The 17,463-nt window shown below is 45.2% G+C and overlaps 1 protein-coding gene and 1 long non-coding RNA gene across 3 annotated transcripts in view, besides 2 other annotated features; one reads left to right on the top strand and one right to left on the bottom strand.

Annotated features, from left to right (window-relative positions):
* The first annotated feature begins 378 nt into the window (after positions 1-378).
* DDX25-AS1 (DDX25 antisense RNA 1) lies at positions 379-16,002 on the top strand. The gene is made up of 4 exons (NR_199024.1): positions 379-735; positions 7,954-8,116; positions 13,315-13,417; positions 13,886-16,002. It is a non-coding gene; the product is annotated as a DDX25 antisense RNA 1 (long non-coding RNA).
* Positions 3,594-4,158: an enhancer, noted in NCBI's record as "H3K27ac hESC enhancer chr11:125805158-125805722 (GRCh37/hg19 assembly coordinates)". NCBI's record gives its function as "activates a minimal SCP1, AML or CMV promoter by ChIP-STARR-seq in primed H9 embryonic stem cells {active_cell/tissue: H9 hESC(primed)}" and the evidence as "EXISTENCE:reporter gene assay evidence [ECO:0000049][PMID:30033119]".
* Positions 5,510-6,463: an enhancer, noted in NCBI's record as "H3K4me1 hESC enhancer chr11:125802853-125803806 (GRCh37/hg19 assembly coordinates)". NCBI's record gives its function as "activates a minimal SCP1, AML or CMV promoter by ChIP-STARR-seq in primed H9 embryonic stem cells {active_cell/tissue: H9 hESC(primed)}" and the evidence as "EXISTENCE:reporter gene assay evidence [ECO:0000049][PMID:30033119]".
* DDX25 (DEAD-box helicase 25) overlaps positions 10,578-17,463 on the bottom strand; it is a 25,516-nt gene continuing 18,630 nt past the window's right edge. For both annotated transcript variants that reach the window (NM_001330438.2, NM_013264.5), the window contains exon 12: positions 10,578-16,601. In NM_001330438.2, the coding sequence (NP_001317367.1) occupies positions 16,540-16,601 (62 nt within the window). In that variant the 3' untranslated portion in view covers positions 10,578-16,539. The remainder of the gene's footprint in view (positions 16,602-17,463) is intronic.

Here is a 17,463-nt window from a genome sequence, read left to right as displayed (position 1 = left end):
CAGGGGATGCCCACCAGGCCAGCCCTAGCCTTCAAGGGTGGGCCAGACTTTTGAGGTCTGTTGGGGAAGCCAGGGCCCAGGGAAACTTCTAGCTGCTCTCTCCATCTTCAGGCTTGTCACCTCCTCTCTATCCCCTCCCAGTGCCCTCCACCCAACCTGGCTAGATTCTCCAAGTTCCCTGGCTGAGGAGCAGGAAGGAGTGGGGAGTTTCCATAATGTCTCTGTAGAGCTCCAGGGTGAGGCTTGGCAACTGGAAATTGTCAGTCGTCTCCTTGGCGACCAGCAGCCAAATAATTCTGGGAATGGAGGAGGGAAGGGAGCTCTCAGCAGGGCGGCCAAGAGAGGCAGCCCTCACTTCCCAGAAAACTTCAATTCCTCATTACCTGTGTCAGCTGGGGTTCAATCAGGAGACAGAAACCACACCAGTTAGTTTGAAAAGAGAATTCAGCATAAGGAACTGATAATGAGGTATGAAGTTGTTAATTAGGTAAGGAGAGGGTAAGGAGAGAGAAGAGTAAGCTTTCATGGGGGTTGCACCTGCAGGAGCAGCTACCACTCCAGGGCTGGAGAACCCTAAGGAAGAGTTTTGAAGGAGGGTTCCAGAGCCTGTGACCCAGACATCTGAGGAGGGGGCTCAACTCAGCGGGAGCTGGGGTCTCCGGGTGTGAAGAAAGGACTCCTGCACCCAGACCTCTGCGGAAGGGGCACCTGCCAGCTGGTGCTGGGGTCTCTCAGGTAGGGATGCAGGGCTGGGGTGGGGTGGATGATGGAGCTGCAAGTGTTGGGAACACTGCAAACTGGATCAGGTGCTGCTCCAGGAGGGGCCTGCTGTTCCTGGGGTGAAGATGTGTTGCTGGGGTGCCCTCACAGGGAACACACAGATGCAAACAGGAAGGAGCCTGTCCACACTTCCTGTCCCGCCTGCAGCCTCCCTCTAGTGACTGGCAAAACAGAAATGGAGTTGGTAGGGTCCAAGCCCAACATCGCAAAACTGGCTGCAGAAGATACAGGTCCAGAGCTGAGAAATAAGAACCTTGTTACCCCATTGCTGGAAGTTCTGGTCTTCCAGCTTTGTCGTTAGTGGTAAGAGCAATGCTGAATGCGTAGTGGGTGCTCACCTAATGTTGTTGTCTGGCCACTGCCTCAGCTGATTCCTGAAAAGGCACATGGACAGGTAAGGGACAGGCCCATCCCTCCCCTTCTTGGCTTTATTCTGGCCTGTTTTGAAGTTACTGACATTCACAGGCTCTGATAGCTGGAAGGAATTTTTTAATGGTAATGATGAAAACAACAGCAGCAAAGAAATATTACAAGTGGCCTAAGGAAAACTATAAAGTTACTGGGATCAAATCGTACATTAAAAGTACAGGACAAGATAAATAGCCCCATAGGGCAGAAATAGAACAAAGTTCAGAAATTTATCCCCGTGCGTATGGATTATAGGGTACAATAAAGGTGGTATTTCAAACCAGTGGATTCAAACTATGGTTTCTTTAATAAATTGTATAGGCACAGTTGACTCTATGTCTGAATGAAAAAAAAAGGTTACGACCTCTACCTCATTAAGTTATTAAAACAAAATTTCAGATCCGAAAGATTTAAATATAACATTTAAAACAGTTTCATGAGGAAAAATATTAGAATATATGATCTAGAGTTTGAAGAGATTTTTCTAAATAAAGTAGAAAATTCAGAAGCTACAGATGAAAAGAGAGACATAAGAAGCTTAAATTTTAGAAAGATAAAATATACCGCTGGGATCATGAGGTCAGGAGTTTGAGACCAGCCTGGCCAACATAGTGAAACCCCATCTCTACTAAAAATACAAAAATTAGCCAGGCATGGTGCCACGTGCCTGTAGTCACGGCTACTCAGGAGGCTGAGGCAGGAGAATTGCTTGAACCCAGGAGGTGGATGTTGCAGTGAGCCAAGATTTCGCCACTGCACTCCAGCCTGGCCAACAGAGCGAGACTTCGTCTCACAAAAAAAAAAAAAAAAAAAAAAAAAAAAAAGATACCGCTGAGTGCAGTGGCTCACACCTGTAATCCCAGCACTTTGGGAGACCAAGGTGAGCAGATCGCTTGAGCTCAGGAGTTCCAGACCAGCCTGGGGAACATGGCGAAACCCCGTCTCTACAAAAAATTCAAAAATTAGCCGGGTATGGTGGCGCATGCCTGTAGTCCCAGCTACTCGGGAGGCTGAGGTAGGAGGATGGCTTGAACCCAGGAGATCAAGGCTGCAGTGAGCTATGATCGCACCACTGCACTCTAGCCTGGGCAACAGAGTGAGATTTTGTCTCAAAAGACAAAAGACAAAAAAAAAAAAAAAAGAAAACAGAAAGATAGAAGATACTATATGTAAAGTCAAAAGACAAACTATAGACTGGAGAAAATATTTCAATATGTACCACCAATAACGAGTTAATATCTGGTACACAAAGATCCTGTCTGTCAATAAGAAAGAGAAATAACCTAGTAGAAAAATAGGCAAAAGATAGAAATAGGTGATTCATGGAAGAGAAAATCCAAATGGATAATACATTTATGGAAAGATGCTGAACCTCACTAATAGTCAAGGAAATGCAAATTTTAGAGATGGGATACTGCTTTTCACTTATCAGAATAGCAAAACTTAATAAGAATGATCATACCTAGGGCTGGAGAAGATGAGGGAGAAACCACTCTTAATCACAGCTGGTGGATATGTGAATTACCCCAGACTTTTGAGAAAGGGACCTGGTAAAATATATGAAAACTAAAAATATACATCTCTTTGAGCTATGTAATTTTTGGAAATTATGCTATGGGGGATAAAAAGCAAGCTTTAATATTTGAGGATATGCATACAAAAATATAGCATTTTTTTGTAGTGGCAAAACCATTAGTATTGATTGAATGATATACATATACCCATGTAATGTAATGTTATACATCTTTTAAAACAATACATTACAGAAGGACAAATGCTCTAGGATTCCACTTAGATGAGATACCTAGAGCAGTCAAAACCACAGAGACAGAAGGTAGAAGGGTGGCTACCAGGAGCTGGAGAGGGAGGGGAAATGGGGAGTTGTTTAATGGATATAGAATTCCAGTTTTGGAAGAGAAGAAGTTCTGGAGAAGGGTCGCACAACAATGTGAATATAGTTAACGCTACCGAACTATATACTTGAAAATGGCTAAGATTGTAAATTTTATGTTATGTGCATTTTACTGATTAAAAAAAAGAGAATAAATTAGAGGGATTTTCACAATGTTTTGTTAGGTGAGAAAAGCAATCTGCACAGAAATCTATGTGGTATTTGTAAAATAAATGACGATAAAGGTAAATAAACGCCTGCTGGGTAATCCAGACCTGCCTGGCCGCGCCCAGAGTCGTCCAACTGCAGAGCACTCTCCAGGCTGGTCCAGGCCTAGGGCTCCGGGCAGGGGCTGGTGTTGAACTAAGCTTACCGGCTTTGCCAGCCCTAGGTGGCAAAGCACCCTTTAAACAGACTTCTGCCCTGGTGTTCTCCGTCTCGACTCTCCTCCCCCAAACGCTAGGCCTCCACAGGTTCTGGCACAGCCAGCCAAGTCCCACAGCTGTTTCTAATATTCTGCACACACTTTATTGAAATGAGAAGCCCCGTTTATCATCCTTCAGGCCCCTGCTCCTCCTGATTAGGTACAGATGACCTGACAGTCAGTGGGGCCTGAGCCAGCAATCAAAGAGGAGATTGTTCTAAGCCAGGAGGTGAGAGGGGCAGAGGCCTGGGAAGCCGAGCAGGGTCCAAGGAGACTTGGGCCAGCCAGGAGGAGATGGGGGAGGTTCTCAGGCTGCAGGAAGGAGGGGAGGGCAGGGCTGAGTAAATTCTTCAAGGACCCCTGGTTTGCTCATCTTCTCTGGCCATATATTCTCTCTGGCCTCCGAGCCTTCTTCAAAAGGCTTGCATTCTATGCTAGAAACATCTCCTCATCTCCAGTCTCCAAACTCAGCCCCCATTTTGCTTTACTTTCATCTCTCAACAATACCAGTAAACCTCTCTGGATGTAATAAAAAGACAGGGCATCTCTCTACCCTTGGCCTCTCCATAATTCTACTCTTCCTAGAGCTACAGAATCAAAACTGAAATATTGAAAACAACCTAGAAATCACCTAAGTGTCAATCCTACAGCTCCCTCTACAGCATCCCTGACCAGCGGCTATTCCAGTTTATGCCTGAGCATTCTAAACTGTGCTGTCCAATATGGTAGCCTCTAGCCACATGTGGTTATTTAAAATCAAACTAAAATTTCATTTTTTTGGTCACACTAGTCACATTTAAAGTGCTCAATACTACAAGAAATATGAAGGGTCGCATATTTTACCACAGTTGCAAACTAACAAGTTAGTCTGACCATTTCATGGATGCTGGCAGAAGACATGAGACTCCTGGGTCAGAGACAAAGAACTTTATTATTTATAGCAATATCAGTAACCAGAGTATCAGTATTTTCTTGCTCCAGTTTCCTGAGCTCCAATTGCCACAGGGCAACATGAATGAGGCCAAAGGATACCCACACATACAGTGGGTTGCTGTACAAGAAAGGAACCCTGAGTTTAGGAAACCTGGTTCTTTTGCAATGTGCAGTAAGCATCTGCCCTATGTGCTGGAGGAAGACATTGTCTTCCAAGACTGCTGGTTACATATTAATACAAAAATCCTTGAAAGGTGTCCAGAACAAAAGCAGTGCCTCTGCTTACAAAATGTGTAGAAATGCGGCCGGGCACAGCGGCTCACACTTGTAGTCCCAGCACTTTGGGAGGCGGAGGAGGGCGGATCATTTGAGGTCAGGAGTTCAAGACCAGCCTGACCAACATAGTGCAACCTCGTCTCTACCAAAAATACAAAAATTAGCAGGGCATGGTGGCGCGCACCTGTAATCCCAGCTACTCAGAAGGCTGAGGCATGAGAATTGCTTGAACTCAGGAGGTGAAGGTTGCAGTGAGCCAAGATTGTGCCACTGTACCCCAGCCTGAGTGACAGAGTGAGATTCTGTCTAAAAAAAATAAAAAATGTGTACAAATGCACGAGACCCATGGGGAATTGTCTCCCAACACAGTGTGGATATGAAACACTGCCATCATTGCAGAAAGTTCTATTGGACCTGCAGGGCTCTAGGGAATGTGGAACTCACTTATTTGCTAGGTCCTTTCCATCATTTCTGAATCCTGGCCCAAGGAGTCACAGAAAAATAAGCAAGCACTGCCACTTTGTTACAGGAAAGAGGTCCTGATCCAGACCCCAAGAGAGCGTTCTTGGATTTCACGCAAGAAAGAAAAGCAAAGTGCAAAGCAAAAGCAAGTTTATTTAAAAAGTAAGAAATAAAAGAATGGCTACTCCACAGACAGAGCAGCCCTGAGGGCTGCTGGTTGCCCATTTTTATGGTTATTTCTTGATAATATGCTAAACAAGGGGTGGATTATTCATGCCTTGCCTTTTGAGACCATATAGGGTAACTTCCTGATGCTGACATGGCATTTGTAAACTGTCATGGCGCTAATGGGAGTGTAGCAGCGAGGACGACCAGAGGTCACTCTTGTGGCCATCTTGGTTTTGGTGGGTTTTGACCAACTTCTTTACTGCAAGCTGTTTTATCAGATCTTTATGACCTGTATCTTGTGCCGACCTCCTATCTCATCCTGTGACTTAGAATGCCTTACCCAACTGGGAATGACGCCCAGTAGGTCTCAGCCTCATTTTACCCAGCGCCTATTTGAGGCGGAGTTGCTCTGGTTCAAATGCCTCTGACAACTTTGCATGCTCATGTGTAAATTTCAAGGTGTTTTCCTTGAGGCAGATGTTCATCACATTATAATCACTGTCTTTCTGAACTCAGCCATGAAAGGCTCAGTCTGATTTCATGTGCTCTGTCCTCATAATGACACTGTGAGAAGAGGAGATCAGAGTAATCCAGGAGGGGCAAATGGCTCTGGCAAAGGCCCAGAGGTGGGGTGAGCAGGGCATGGCTGGAGGGGCCGGGGGGCACACAGGTGAAACGACCAGGACACTCTTAAGTGGTCAAACACTCTAGCAAAGCGAACATTTACTGGCATCAGGATAACAGAAGAGTTTGAGGGGGAGGTTGCTGAGCCCCACCCCCAAGGGCTTCTGATTCATGAGGTCTGTGGTGGGGCCCGAGAATTTGCATTTCTAAGAAGTTCGTAGGTGCTGCTGCGCTGCTGCTGCTGCTGATCTGGGGACCACATTGTGGGAACCGCTGCTCTAGTGTGATAGATGCACTTTGGGCAGCATGCCAGTGACACGTGGATGGACAATTCTTTTATTTGTTCTAATGCATATTGGAAAAATGCAACTAGCACATCAAACTAGTTATATTTTTAAACAATCAGTAGATTTAAGAATTTAGTTACATATACATGTAGCTGTGTGTAGTGTGAAGACTAGCGAAGATGGTGATGGTGCTATGGGAATGATTGAGGTTTGGGCAGTGCTGACGCAGGAAAGGGCCAAGAATGGGATTCAGACAGGCCCCAGTCAAATTCCACTTCCACTGTGTGATGGCAGATGCAGCCCCTCAGCTTCCTTGTTTATGAAATGGCATTACTGCATTTCCATGAGTGTTTCTCAGGATGTGTGAGGATCAGCTAACAACTAACTAGCTCTTCCCTCCTTTCCATCCTTCCCCAGGAGGAGGGCACAATCCCTGCCCTTGGACTGTTCTCATTCTAGGCGACAGGCTCTGTCACCTTTAAATGCCAAGAAATTGTGAGGGCCTATTAGAATCCCAGGTCCCCACCCTTAAGACAGAAACCACCCCTCCCTCTGGCTGAAGCCTGAGGATTCCGGAAGGGGAAGCAGGCTTGGGCTGGGGAGCAGAGGGTCCCGCAACCGTCCTCCCGGATGGGCAGGCACAGACCCTGGGCCCCCAGCTCCCCTGCCTCCCTGGGCTCAGGCGGCACAGTGCAGTCCTGTGGGGCAGCAGTGCCTTTTCTAATCTTGCTGTCTTAGGTTAATATCAAAGCTGCTTGGCGAATCCTGAGCCCGTGCCCATGTGAGGTGGGTGGACCTGGGTCTGGCCTGGAGAATCCATCCAGGACCGAATACACGTTCCTTTTTCAGGGGCAGTGGGCTCCATCACAGGGCCTAGTCTTAATGGTAGTGGGGCAGCAGCAAAGAAAACCAATGACTTAACAAGGAAAATTAAAATATTCTTGGGATCATCAGCATGGAGAAACCTCTCTGGAGGTGCCCTCCAGGAAGCTCATACTCCAAGCAACTGGTCTTGCTCCTGTCCAAAGGACTACTAATGGGAGGGGTGACGATGGGAGACATGCAGCGTTTAAAGTGAACCCCTAAATCCATGTTTTTGGCGGAGCCCTCTAGATTCTAGTGGTGTTTCCATCACACCATTCATTCCACAGGGCTTTCTGCTCCCTTCCCTCCTCATTTTAATGATCTCAGACAGACATAAAAATGGCTGAGCTCAGCATAAGTGACTGAGACATGAGCATTGCCTCAGGGTCCCCGTGGACCCCAGCTGGGTACCATGCCGCCCTAGGTTCTACTTTGACAGGATAAAGTGAACTCATATATTCAGTTGTTTTAAGTGAGCTAACGCTAGGCAGTGCCAGAGGACGAAGACATAAATCTTTCCTAGAGCTCAGAGTCGCTGCCAAACACCTTGGATAAAACTTTCTGCTTGTTCAAGATGGTTTTTCCTCCCCTCTAAAAATGAGGAGGGGAAAAGTACTAAAAAATCTAAGGGGCTAGCGGGAGGGTGTTAGCAGATTCTGGGACTGACAAACTTGTCAACGCTTTGGCCTCATAAAAATTCTTTTTGTAAGAAAGGCAAACTTTTAAATTGATTTTTCTTACCGCTCTTAGTGGGTGCCAAGGGTGTCACTGGTCACCTGGTCTGCCTGTGTGTTATCCCTGGCTGAGGAATGAAGGCTTTTCTTATATCTCTGCAGGCTTCATTTGCATCAGAGGTGGGACAGCTTGTTACATATCACCCTTGGCTGTGATCATAGCCTCAGATGCTTCTCAACTGGAGCAAACTCAAGCAGGCTGTTTGAAAACATTTTGAAAACCTCCCAGCCAGAAACCTTGTTCCAGCAGTGCAGAGCAGCTCAGGTAAGAGGCAACGAGTGGTGTGCCCCACATGGCCTCTGTGTGGCTGAGAATGAACTGCTTTTTTCCCTTTCACTGATTTTCTTTGCAGTTTTTATTCTTTGCAAACACTTTATAGCAAGAAACACGTGAAAGAAAGTCACCCACACGCTTATCAGCCCTATAATTTGTCAAATGGCTTTGTGTTTCTAAGTTTCTTGCCTATACACATACCTTTTATTTTTATTTTTTTATTTTCTGAGACCCAAGTCTCACTCTGTTGCCCAAGTTGGAGTGCAGTGGCGTGATCTTGGCTCACTGCAACCTCCGCCTCCCGGGATCAAGCAATTCTCGTGCCTCGGCCTCCCAAGTAGACGGGACTACAGGCATGTGCCACCACACCCAGCCAATTTTTGTATTTTTAGTAGACAAGGGGTTTCACCATGTTGGCCAGAGTGGTCTCGAACTCCTGACCTCAGGTGATCCACCTGACTTGGCCTCCCAAAGTGTTGGGATTACAGGCATGAGCTCCTGCACCTGGCCTGTACACATACCTTTAAAGTATAACTGTGACCAGGATTCTAGCACCCCTAACCCCACTCTCCTTTTTTTCAGCCAAGAATCCTCACCTAGATCCGTGTTCTAAAACTTTGCTACTCAAAGTGTGGTCTGGAAACTAGTAGCAGCACCACCCCAGACCTACTAACCTAGAAATCTGCAGGTTAACGAGATCCCCAGGAGATCATATTTATGTTAAAGTTTGAGATAGAGTGCTCTCAGAGATCCCCAGCCTTTCTGCCACCAGGGACTGGTTTTGTGGAAGACAACTTTTCCACGGACAGGGGTGTGGAGGGAATGGCTTCGGGATGATTCGGGTGCATTGCATTTATTGTGCACTTTAATTTCTATTATTACGTTGTAATATATAATGAAATAATTATACAACTCATCATAATGTAGAATCAGTGGGAGCCCTGAGCTTGCTTGTTTTGCAACTAGATGGTCCTATCTTGGGGTGATGGGAGACAGCGACAGATCATCAGCATTAGATTCTCAGAAGGAGCGCGCAACCTAGATCCCTCACATGCACAGTTCACGATAGGGTTTTGTGCTCCTATAGGAATCGAATGGCGCTGCTGATCTGACAGGAGGCAGAGCTCACGTGGTAATGTGAGTGATGGGGAGGGGCTGTAAATACAGATGAAGCTTCGCTCGCTCACCTGCCACAAACCTGCTGGGCAGCCCGGTACCAGTCAGTGACCCGGGGGTTGGGAACCCCTACTATAAAACACATTAGCTAAGACAAAACTCTACTACAAATTGGGGTTACACAATTTCCTCCTTCCCTCCTTCTTGCCATAGTTGTGCAACATCTAGGGGGTGCTAGGCACTGGGTTGGGTGCTGGGCCTGACAGAGAGCCAGGTCCATTACAAATGGTCTCTGTCTTCAAGCCACGCAGGCCTGTCAAAGGCTGAAGCATGATAGCACTGTGGTGTCAGGGAGGAATAGGATTGTAGAGCTGGAAGAGTCCTGGGGAGGTGGGGCCCAGGCAGGTGATGTGGCTTTGTCCATGGCCACAGAGCAGGTTCATGGGCAGGCAGGACTTGAGCCCAAGCTTCCTGCCCTCACGTGCACTCAATCTGCCAGCAGAATTCGGGCCCCTGGCAGACAAGTTGGCATATGGAGATGCACAGAAATGAAATGCCCGAGCTTGTTGCCAGGTCCTCCTCCGTCAGGCACGCCCCTGGAGACCACCTCAGCGCCGACCCTCCCTGCCTCTCCCCTTGGCTAGCACAGCCTCTTGCTCAGGTGTCTAAGGGGCTTTGCTCCTAGCATATCTCCTGACCTTTTTGAGACAAGAGAGATCTAGCATTTGATTCAAAACTGTAAAGAAATCTATTCTCCACAAAGTAATGTATGGACTGAATACATTACTCCTGCCAAATGGATCCCATCAAATAAAATATCAGAGGAACTTTTGGAAATTGGTTAAATGGATCTAAAACTAATCTTGAGGAATAAACTGAGTAATGACATTTTTTCAAATATGAGAGATAATGAAAATAGCCAAGAGGGGGAACAAGTCCTTAAAATAAAACACATTTTATAACAATAATACATAAAACTGTGGTGTTGGCCCAAGAATAAACTGGCATTAAGTAGATACCCAGAATCTTGTTTTATGTGTCAGGTATGTAGAAATTTAATATGATAAGGAAGATATAATAATAGGAAATAGAGGTTTCTTGGTGATATACCTCACACCAGAACAAATTACAGATGGACTAAAGCTGAGTATCTTTTTAAAGATAAAAATCACAATAACTAAAAATAAAATTAAACATGTTTTCTAGAGCAGTGCTAATATTCTAGAACCAGTAGACAATCAATTATTGATATATTTCATTACAAAAAATTAAATAACTTTGTGTGAAACAACTATAACACATTTTAAAATGCAGTCAGACTGAGATAGACAATATGTTGTCAGTAAAATAGAAGGTTAATGTCTTTATTTTATTTGGAAAAATAAATTCACACATATATTTCACACAACTTGACAAGGAAACCATTAACATCCCACAAGATAAATGGGCAAAGAACACTACAGATGCTTTTCAAATGATGAACCACTTTAAAAAATATAATCTTGCTTGTACTAAGAGAAACATAAACCAGAAAAGTTACCAAGCAATTTTAAAATGAAAATATCCCTTGCTGGTAAGGTGAGGTGAATTTGCTGTGCAACTATATATTGGTATAGCCAGTCTACTGAATGCAATGTAGCTCTAACAAAATCTGTTAAATGCTGTTAAAGTGCTTCTAGTTTTCGACCTGGTACTCGCACTTAATGTCTCTAATCTTAAGAAATAATTCGGAATATTGGGCGAGAAGATATTTACTGCAGCATGATTTATAATTAAAGCTTTGGAAAAATGGACATCCTATAAATGTTCAACAAAGTCAGCTATATGCATATTCACTAGATAGGACAATCTGGTCAATTATTATTTTGAAAATATAATCCCAAACACTGTGTGGTAACATGAAAAAAAACTTGAATGTTTCAAATAAAAAGATATAATACTATAATTAACCACAGATGTTTATATTAAGAACAGGACTATATCAAGCTGATAATTTTTATGATAAAGTCATTGGATTGTTGATATTTTGCTCTACTTTGCTGTTTCATTGCTTTTATAATATGAACATTAAATTAAAAATAATCCACATTCAGCCTAAGCTTTGAATGAAGAGATGGTCACATGGGGAAGGAACCAATGCATCTGAACGCTAAGACAGGGTACAATTAGAAGTTAACCACCCCATTTTCATTTGTGGAAAACAATCTTCTTTTGTGCAAAGCTTCTCAGACTCATGTTGCTCCACCTGTGTAGCTATTGTGTGTAGGGTCATGGAAACATGGTATCTTAGAATGGACAGAGTCTCCGAGATCATTTTATTCTGAACTCCTGGTTATTCAAGAACCAGAACTACAGCATCTGATTAACTATTCATCTTCTGATTGATTGAATGCTCTCATGAATGGGGAGTTCACCACCTCACAAAGCAGCCTGCTCAGTCTGTGCCTTCTAAATCATGCCTGAGGCCATTATACATGACCTATACATGTTACCTCCGAATATAACAGAAAGCAGAGATTTCAAGCCATGATCACACACTAAGGAGCTGGAGTGAGGCAGTACCATTCTTTCTAGCAATAGAAAAATGTTAAGCTCAAAATAGGAGACCATCCTCATTTATGAAAATTATATTCTAGAAACTGGAATAGAGAAACCCATGGTTATTCTACTGAACAGAAATAATTATGGGCAAAGGTTAATTCCCAAAGAAAAATGCTACAGATAGTTGCCACGCTTCTCTAGAGACTTATGAAAACTTTCAGTTCTTCTGAATACAAGAGGGAGAGAGAGCCCCTCTTCAGAGCTCATCTTTATTATATCAGAGCCTCTGGCTGTTTCTACCTCAGCAGAGATGGAAGGCTGATAAACTGGTAAAGGAGGGCCAGGCAGTTCCAGACATGGGCCTGTGGGCCCCTCCGTGGGTTTGCCAAACACCATGGGACATCTCTCAGCCAAGAATCATCCCAGTTCACGTGTGTTTTCTGTATTTCACTAGAAGAATCTAAAAGTTTAATGTTTAAAGGGGGATGGAAAATCCACATTAAAAATGGAGAATGGTGCTTCAGCCCCACCCACATTTAAAACTGATAGTTTGCAAAGCAGTAAGAGAAACCAGCCAATGGCTCAAACTGCATCTCTTCAGGCAGACACCAGGCAACACAGTGAGGGGCAGCGAAGGAGGGTGTGGGAAGTCCAGACCCATCCTTCTGAGGGACCCAGGCAGCACAGGAGGGTGGCAGGGGATAAGGCAGAACCCCGAGGGTGAAAACATCAACCTGCGGATGTGAGCAGCAGAACGGGAAGAGGAGTCAGCAGACAGAAATGAGAAGGGGAGGCTGGGCGCCGTGGCTGATGCCTGTAATCCCAGCACTTTGGGAAGCCAAGGCGTGTGGATCACCTGAGGTCACGAGTTCGAGACCAGCCTGACCAATACGGTGAAACCCCATCGCTACTAAAATAACATACAAAAATAAGCCAGGCGTGGTGGCATGTGCCTGTAGCCCCAGCTACTCGGGAGGCTGAGACAGGAGAATTGCTTGAACCGGGGAGGCAGAGTTTGCAGTGAGCCGAGATCACGCCACTGCACTCCAGCCTGGGCAACACAGTGAGACTCCATCTCAAAAAAAAAAAAAAGAGAAGGGAAAATGTCAAATTCTCTCAGCCACGGATTAGCAAAAGTATAGAAAATGTTGGGGTTGAGTGCCTCTTGGATGCTTTCTAGGGCAAAAAGTTCGTATTCCCTGTAGCATAGAACAAGACTGTGATGATTTCATAGTCTGTGGGTTAATATGATATGAGGGTCTTGGATAATACATCATTATTCCCCAGAAGTAGTGGAGAGTTGAAGTGAGAGGGTTAGGATTGAAGAGGATCTGACCTTTCTGTTACTCCCTTGGGAAAAGCAGTATGTGCCAGATGGCTGGGCTCCTGAAGACCCTCCTGCAAGGCTGAGCATGATGGGCTGTCTGTACAATGTGGGTGAGAACATAGTAATGCCCCCCGGTTCAGAGAGCAAAGTGCAGGCCCATCCCAACAGCTGGACTGTCTCTGCAGGGGTTCTCTTTCTAATCTAGGTCCTGCCTTGAATCAAAAGGAAGGAGACTGAGCCTCTCAGAGGACCAGGAACCAAGCCAAGGCTTGACAAAACCAGCCTCTCTCTCTCTGCTGTCTGGAAAGGTACTGCCCACCACCCACCACCCCCATCACTCCTCTAAGATTTTCCACTGTTGGTCATATGTGCAGAGACTGCCAGCAGCTTTCATGGTGACCGAGCTTTGCTGAGGAGGATCAACACTTTCTCATGACCAAAAGCAATAATGTCTCTTGAAAAGCGGCTGTCACACATCCTACCAGACTATGACCAACTTATTTGCCTTTCCTATTATTAATGGTTGCCTTAGATCCAGCACCTAACATCATAGCAGCCGTGTTCCATGCGAGGTGTTCACTTACCCACTGGAAATCACAGTCCTGCTCTACGTAATCATGAATTTCAATATGCTAACAGTATTAAGCTGGCCAAGATAAACTTAACGGATTTGGTTTAGTATTTGGTGCCAAGAAACATACAGCTGATGAACCCAGCTCACAGTTGCACTGAAATCACCTGGTGTTTCCTTGCCTCTCTATCTACTCTGTCCTCAGGCAGGCACTGAGAGAGATGACCTTGGCCAGGCCATGCAGGAAGACGGGAAAATTGCTTACAGCTCTGACAGGAGCTGCACCCTGCAAAAAACAGCCTTTGGATTGTTGACTCACCAAACTAGCCAGTTCGTGTTAATGCAGCTGTGACACAGGATGGCTTTGCTGCCTCCTAGGTGGTGAGACAAAGGGACGTGAGGAGGGGGCAAAAGGGAACGCAGAAAAATACCTGGTTCATGCAGACCTGTGGGAACAGCTGCCAAACAAAAATTACTGAGGACATTTGTGAGGGTAACTGGCGGAGATCTTACCAGAGATTTGAACTGTAAAGGAAAGTGGTAAAGTTTTATTTAGGACACCCCAAGGCGGAGCTGAGCACGGTGGAAGGTCCAACTCGATTCTCGAATAGTAAGAGAACAAAGTATCTGGATACACTTCTCATGCTCATTCATCCTGTGCCATGTAATTGGGGTTCAAAACTAGGATGGAAAACCTAAAAAAAAATTATTAGTGAATGAGGAAGTGGCAAAAGAAAAAAAAATTTACTCAACAAAGACAAAGGTTCCTTGGGCACTTAGAATGCACTGGGCACTGTGTTAGGGGTATTGAGTGGACAAGAGTGATCACCAGCTTCCAGTCCAGAGAGAAGGGCAGATGTAGGATAAGGAGAACCAGGATGGACACCGAGCAGCAGGAGTTCCATGTGTTACAAGTTCTGTCCCCAAGGGCCTCTCTGCCTGAGGGTCTCCCGCTGGGACGGCCATCTTCGTTACCACTGCTCTACCTGCACTTGCGGCTCCCTTATGGAAGTGGGTATTTCTGGGCTCTGCCCTCGGAGAGTCTGCTTTCATCTGCATGGGGAAGGAAATCTGTATTTTTTTCCCCGGGCTCTCCAGGTAATTATGGTAAGCTGGGTCTGGAACACTTCCTCTCGTAGACTCAGGTTAGAAAGTTGCTGGGTGGTACAAAGTCCATGCTGAGAAGGCACAGTTGAATACATCCTGCTCTCCTGTAGGAGATCCTGAGTGTCCTCTCCTCTGGGAGCCAGCCTAGATGGTGTTAGGGTCCCTCCTCTGTGCTACACTAGTGATCTGGGCCCGCTTGCTTTAGCACAGTCTGTTATCATGCTGGCTTATTCTAGGTCTCTGCCATTAGGCTCTGAATTCCAACATGGCTGTTGTATCTCACTCACCTCCTTTTCCCTGGTGTTTGGCATAAAGGGTATACAATAAATATCTGTTGCTAAATGAGGGAGGGGAGCGCGTTTTTTTTGAGATAGAGTCTCACTCTGTCGCCCAGGCTGGAATGCAGTGGCACGATCTCGGCTCACTGCAATCTCGGCCTCCTGGGTTCAAGTGATTCTCCTGCCTCAGCCTCCTGAGTAGCTGGGATTACAGGCACGCGTACCACCACGCCCAGCTAATTTTTATATTTTTAGTAGAGAAGGGGTTTCACCATGTTGGTAAGGCTGGTCTTAACTCCTGACCTCGTGATCCGCCCTCCTTGGCCTCCCAAAGTGCTAGGATTACAGGTGTGAGCCACTGTGCCCAGCCACGTGATGATTTTTATGTATTTCTGAGCCCTGCTCTCCGGGAGAAAACATGGGCAGGGTGACATGGAAGAGGGATATCAAAATAGATATGCCAGGAACCACCATGCCACCGATGACAGGGCCACTCACTGCAGCCACTGGTGCAGTTTGGTGCCGTGACAGAGCTGGTACCGGCGCTCTGGTTACAAGATCCGCTCCGGCTTTCTGGGGGACTCTCCATTTACCCCATCTTCTCAAGCTCACTACACTTTACTTTTGAGTAGGAAATATGAAAAATTAAAAAGTATCTCAATGGGTCTTGTGGGAAAATGTCCAGGATTCTGACATACCTTTAAATTCTTAAAAGCAAAAAACTTTTGCTCTCTAAAATGTTACTTCTTTAATAGGGTATGTGGGTTTTTTTTTTACCCTCCCGACTGCTTTTAAGAAATGCCCATAATACAGCCACACTTTTAGAGACTATGAAATAACTGATGAGGGAGTAAATCTTTAATTTGAAGAGAAGCAAAATAGAAAAATACTCTGAAATTCTGTATGTCCCTTGAAACATTAAAGAAGTAAAATACTCTTTCTTTCAAATGGTTTCACTTTTTAAAAGTTTTAATCTGTACTTTCACTTAAGAACATGCATGTGCATGCATGGGGGAGTTTAAGGCGGGGAGCGGGGAAAGGCATAAATGGCTGGAAAGGGCACCTGTGAGTGAGGTCTGAAGACATGGGCTTTTTCCTACTCGCTCCGCTTCCAAAATCAGCGAAGCTCTACCGCCCTCTTGTGACACAGTAAGATGCTCCCAAGAGGCACGATCTGCTCAGATTGTATCAACCAAATCCAAAAACACCCCCATAGCCCACATTGAGACATTACCTGTACAAAGATTAGAATAAGAAATAATCTTGCCTTTTTTTTATTCAAAAGGATCACAAGCTTCACATCAATTTGGCTTCAAAAAGACCTCATGTCTTAAAACTAAGTACCGTGACATTTATTTTGCCATCTGTGACAGTTTCACGTCGAAAAAGCCTCAACATAAAAAAATTACCTTCAAAACCCACTGAGACATTCTCACATAAACTAGGATACTGCACAAACAATAAAGTTCTTTCTTCAATAGTCAATCTTTTCAATTTCATCCATGTCTTCAGCGTTGAGTTGCTTAATACTGCTGTCTAAAAGAACAAAAGAGAACAGAACTAGTCTCATGTCAGGGTCTAAATGGAACTTCATTCCATCCATATTTCTGAAGACAGTGATACCTCGTATAAAAAGCCTTGGTATAGGAACATAAGGAAGGAAGGGTGCCAAAATCACTGACCAATACTAACTCAAACAGCATCAAATGCACCAGACCATGGAATGTATGTATCTAGATACGCTGGGGCAGAGAAGGCCAGAGTGGAAGTGAGGAGAGCCTGGGAGGGACTGAGGCTCTTCTACTGCAGTCACTTCCTGAGACCAGGGCCTTAGAAGCTCACCATAGCGACAGTGGCCTTAACACATCTTCCTCACCCTGTCCTCCCCAGTTAGCCTAACACAGGGGCACTTAACCTACTTCCCTGAAAGGTCGGTGGATGTGCTACACTCAGTCTGCCAACCTGTGAAAATTATATTCCAAATGGCATGTGTGTGCCTGTGTGCACTTCCCTGGGGACAGCGCTTATTGCTTTCTACAAGGTTAAGTACCACTGTCCTGGAAGGTGTTCCTTCTCCCCTGCTCCCCAGCCACATCCATGGGCTTTGGGGCACAGGACAATTTGAACCATGGGACCTTTTGAGTTTCCATCAGAGAAATCTGCCAGTCCAGAGTTCCAGCAGGCCATCATCAGAGCCTGCCTTGTTTAGATGGGGGGCTGGAGGAAAGGTCGCGGACTTCAGAATTTAGGACTTTCCTGTTTGGGAGGGTGGGCAAGAGGAGGGAAAAAGCGTAAGTAAAAGAGGAGAACTGAAGAGAATCTTAAAGGATGTTACTACTTTGCTTAGGGAATTTCTTTATAAGATACGAAAATCTGCTTCTGTAATCTGCTCTGCCTT

Source organism: Homo sapiens, chromosome 11 (genome assembly GCF_000001405.40).
Source record: "Homo sapiens chromosome 11, GRCh38.p14 Primary Assembly".
In the NCBI taxonomy this organism is placed as follows: domain Eukaryota; kingdom Metazoa; phylum Chordata; class Mammalia; order Primates; family Hominidae; genus Homo; species Homo sapiens.
Note: the sequence above shows the minus strand (reverse complement) of the source record. Positions and strands in the feature narration are given on the sequence as shown.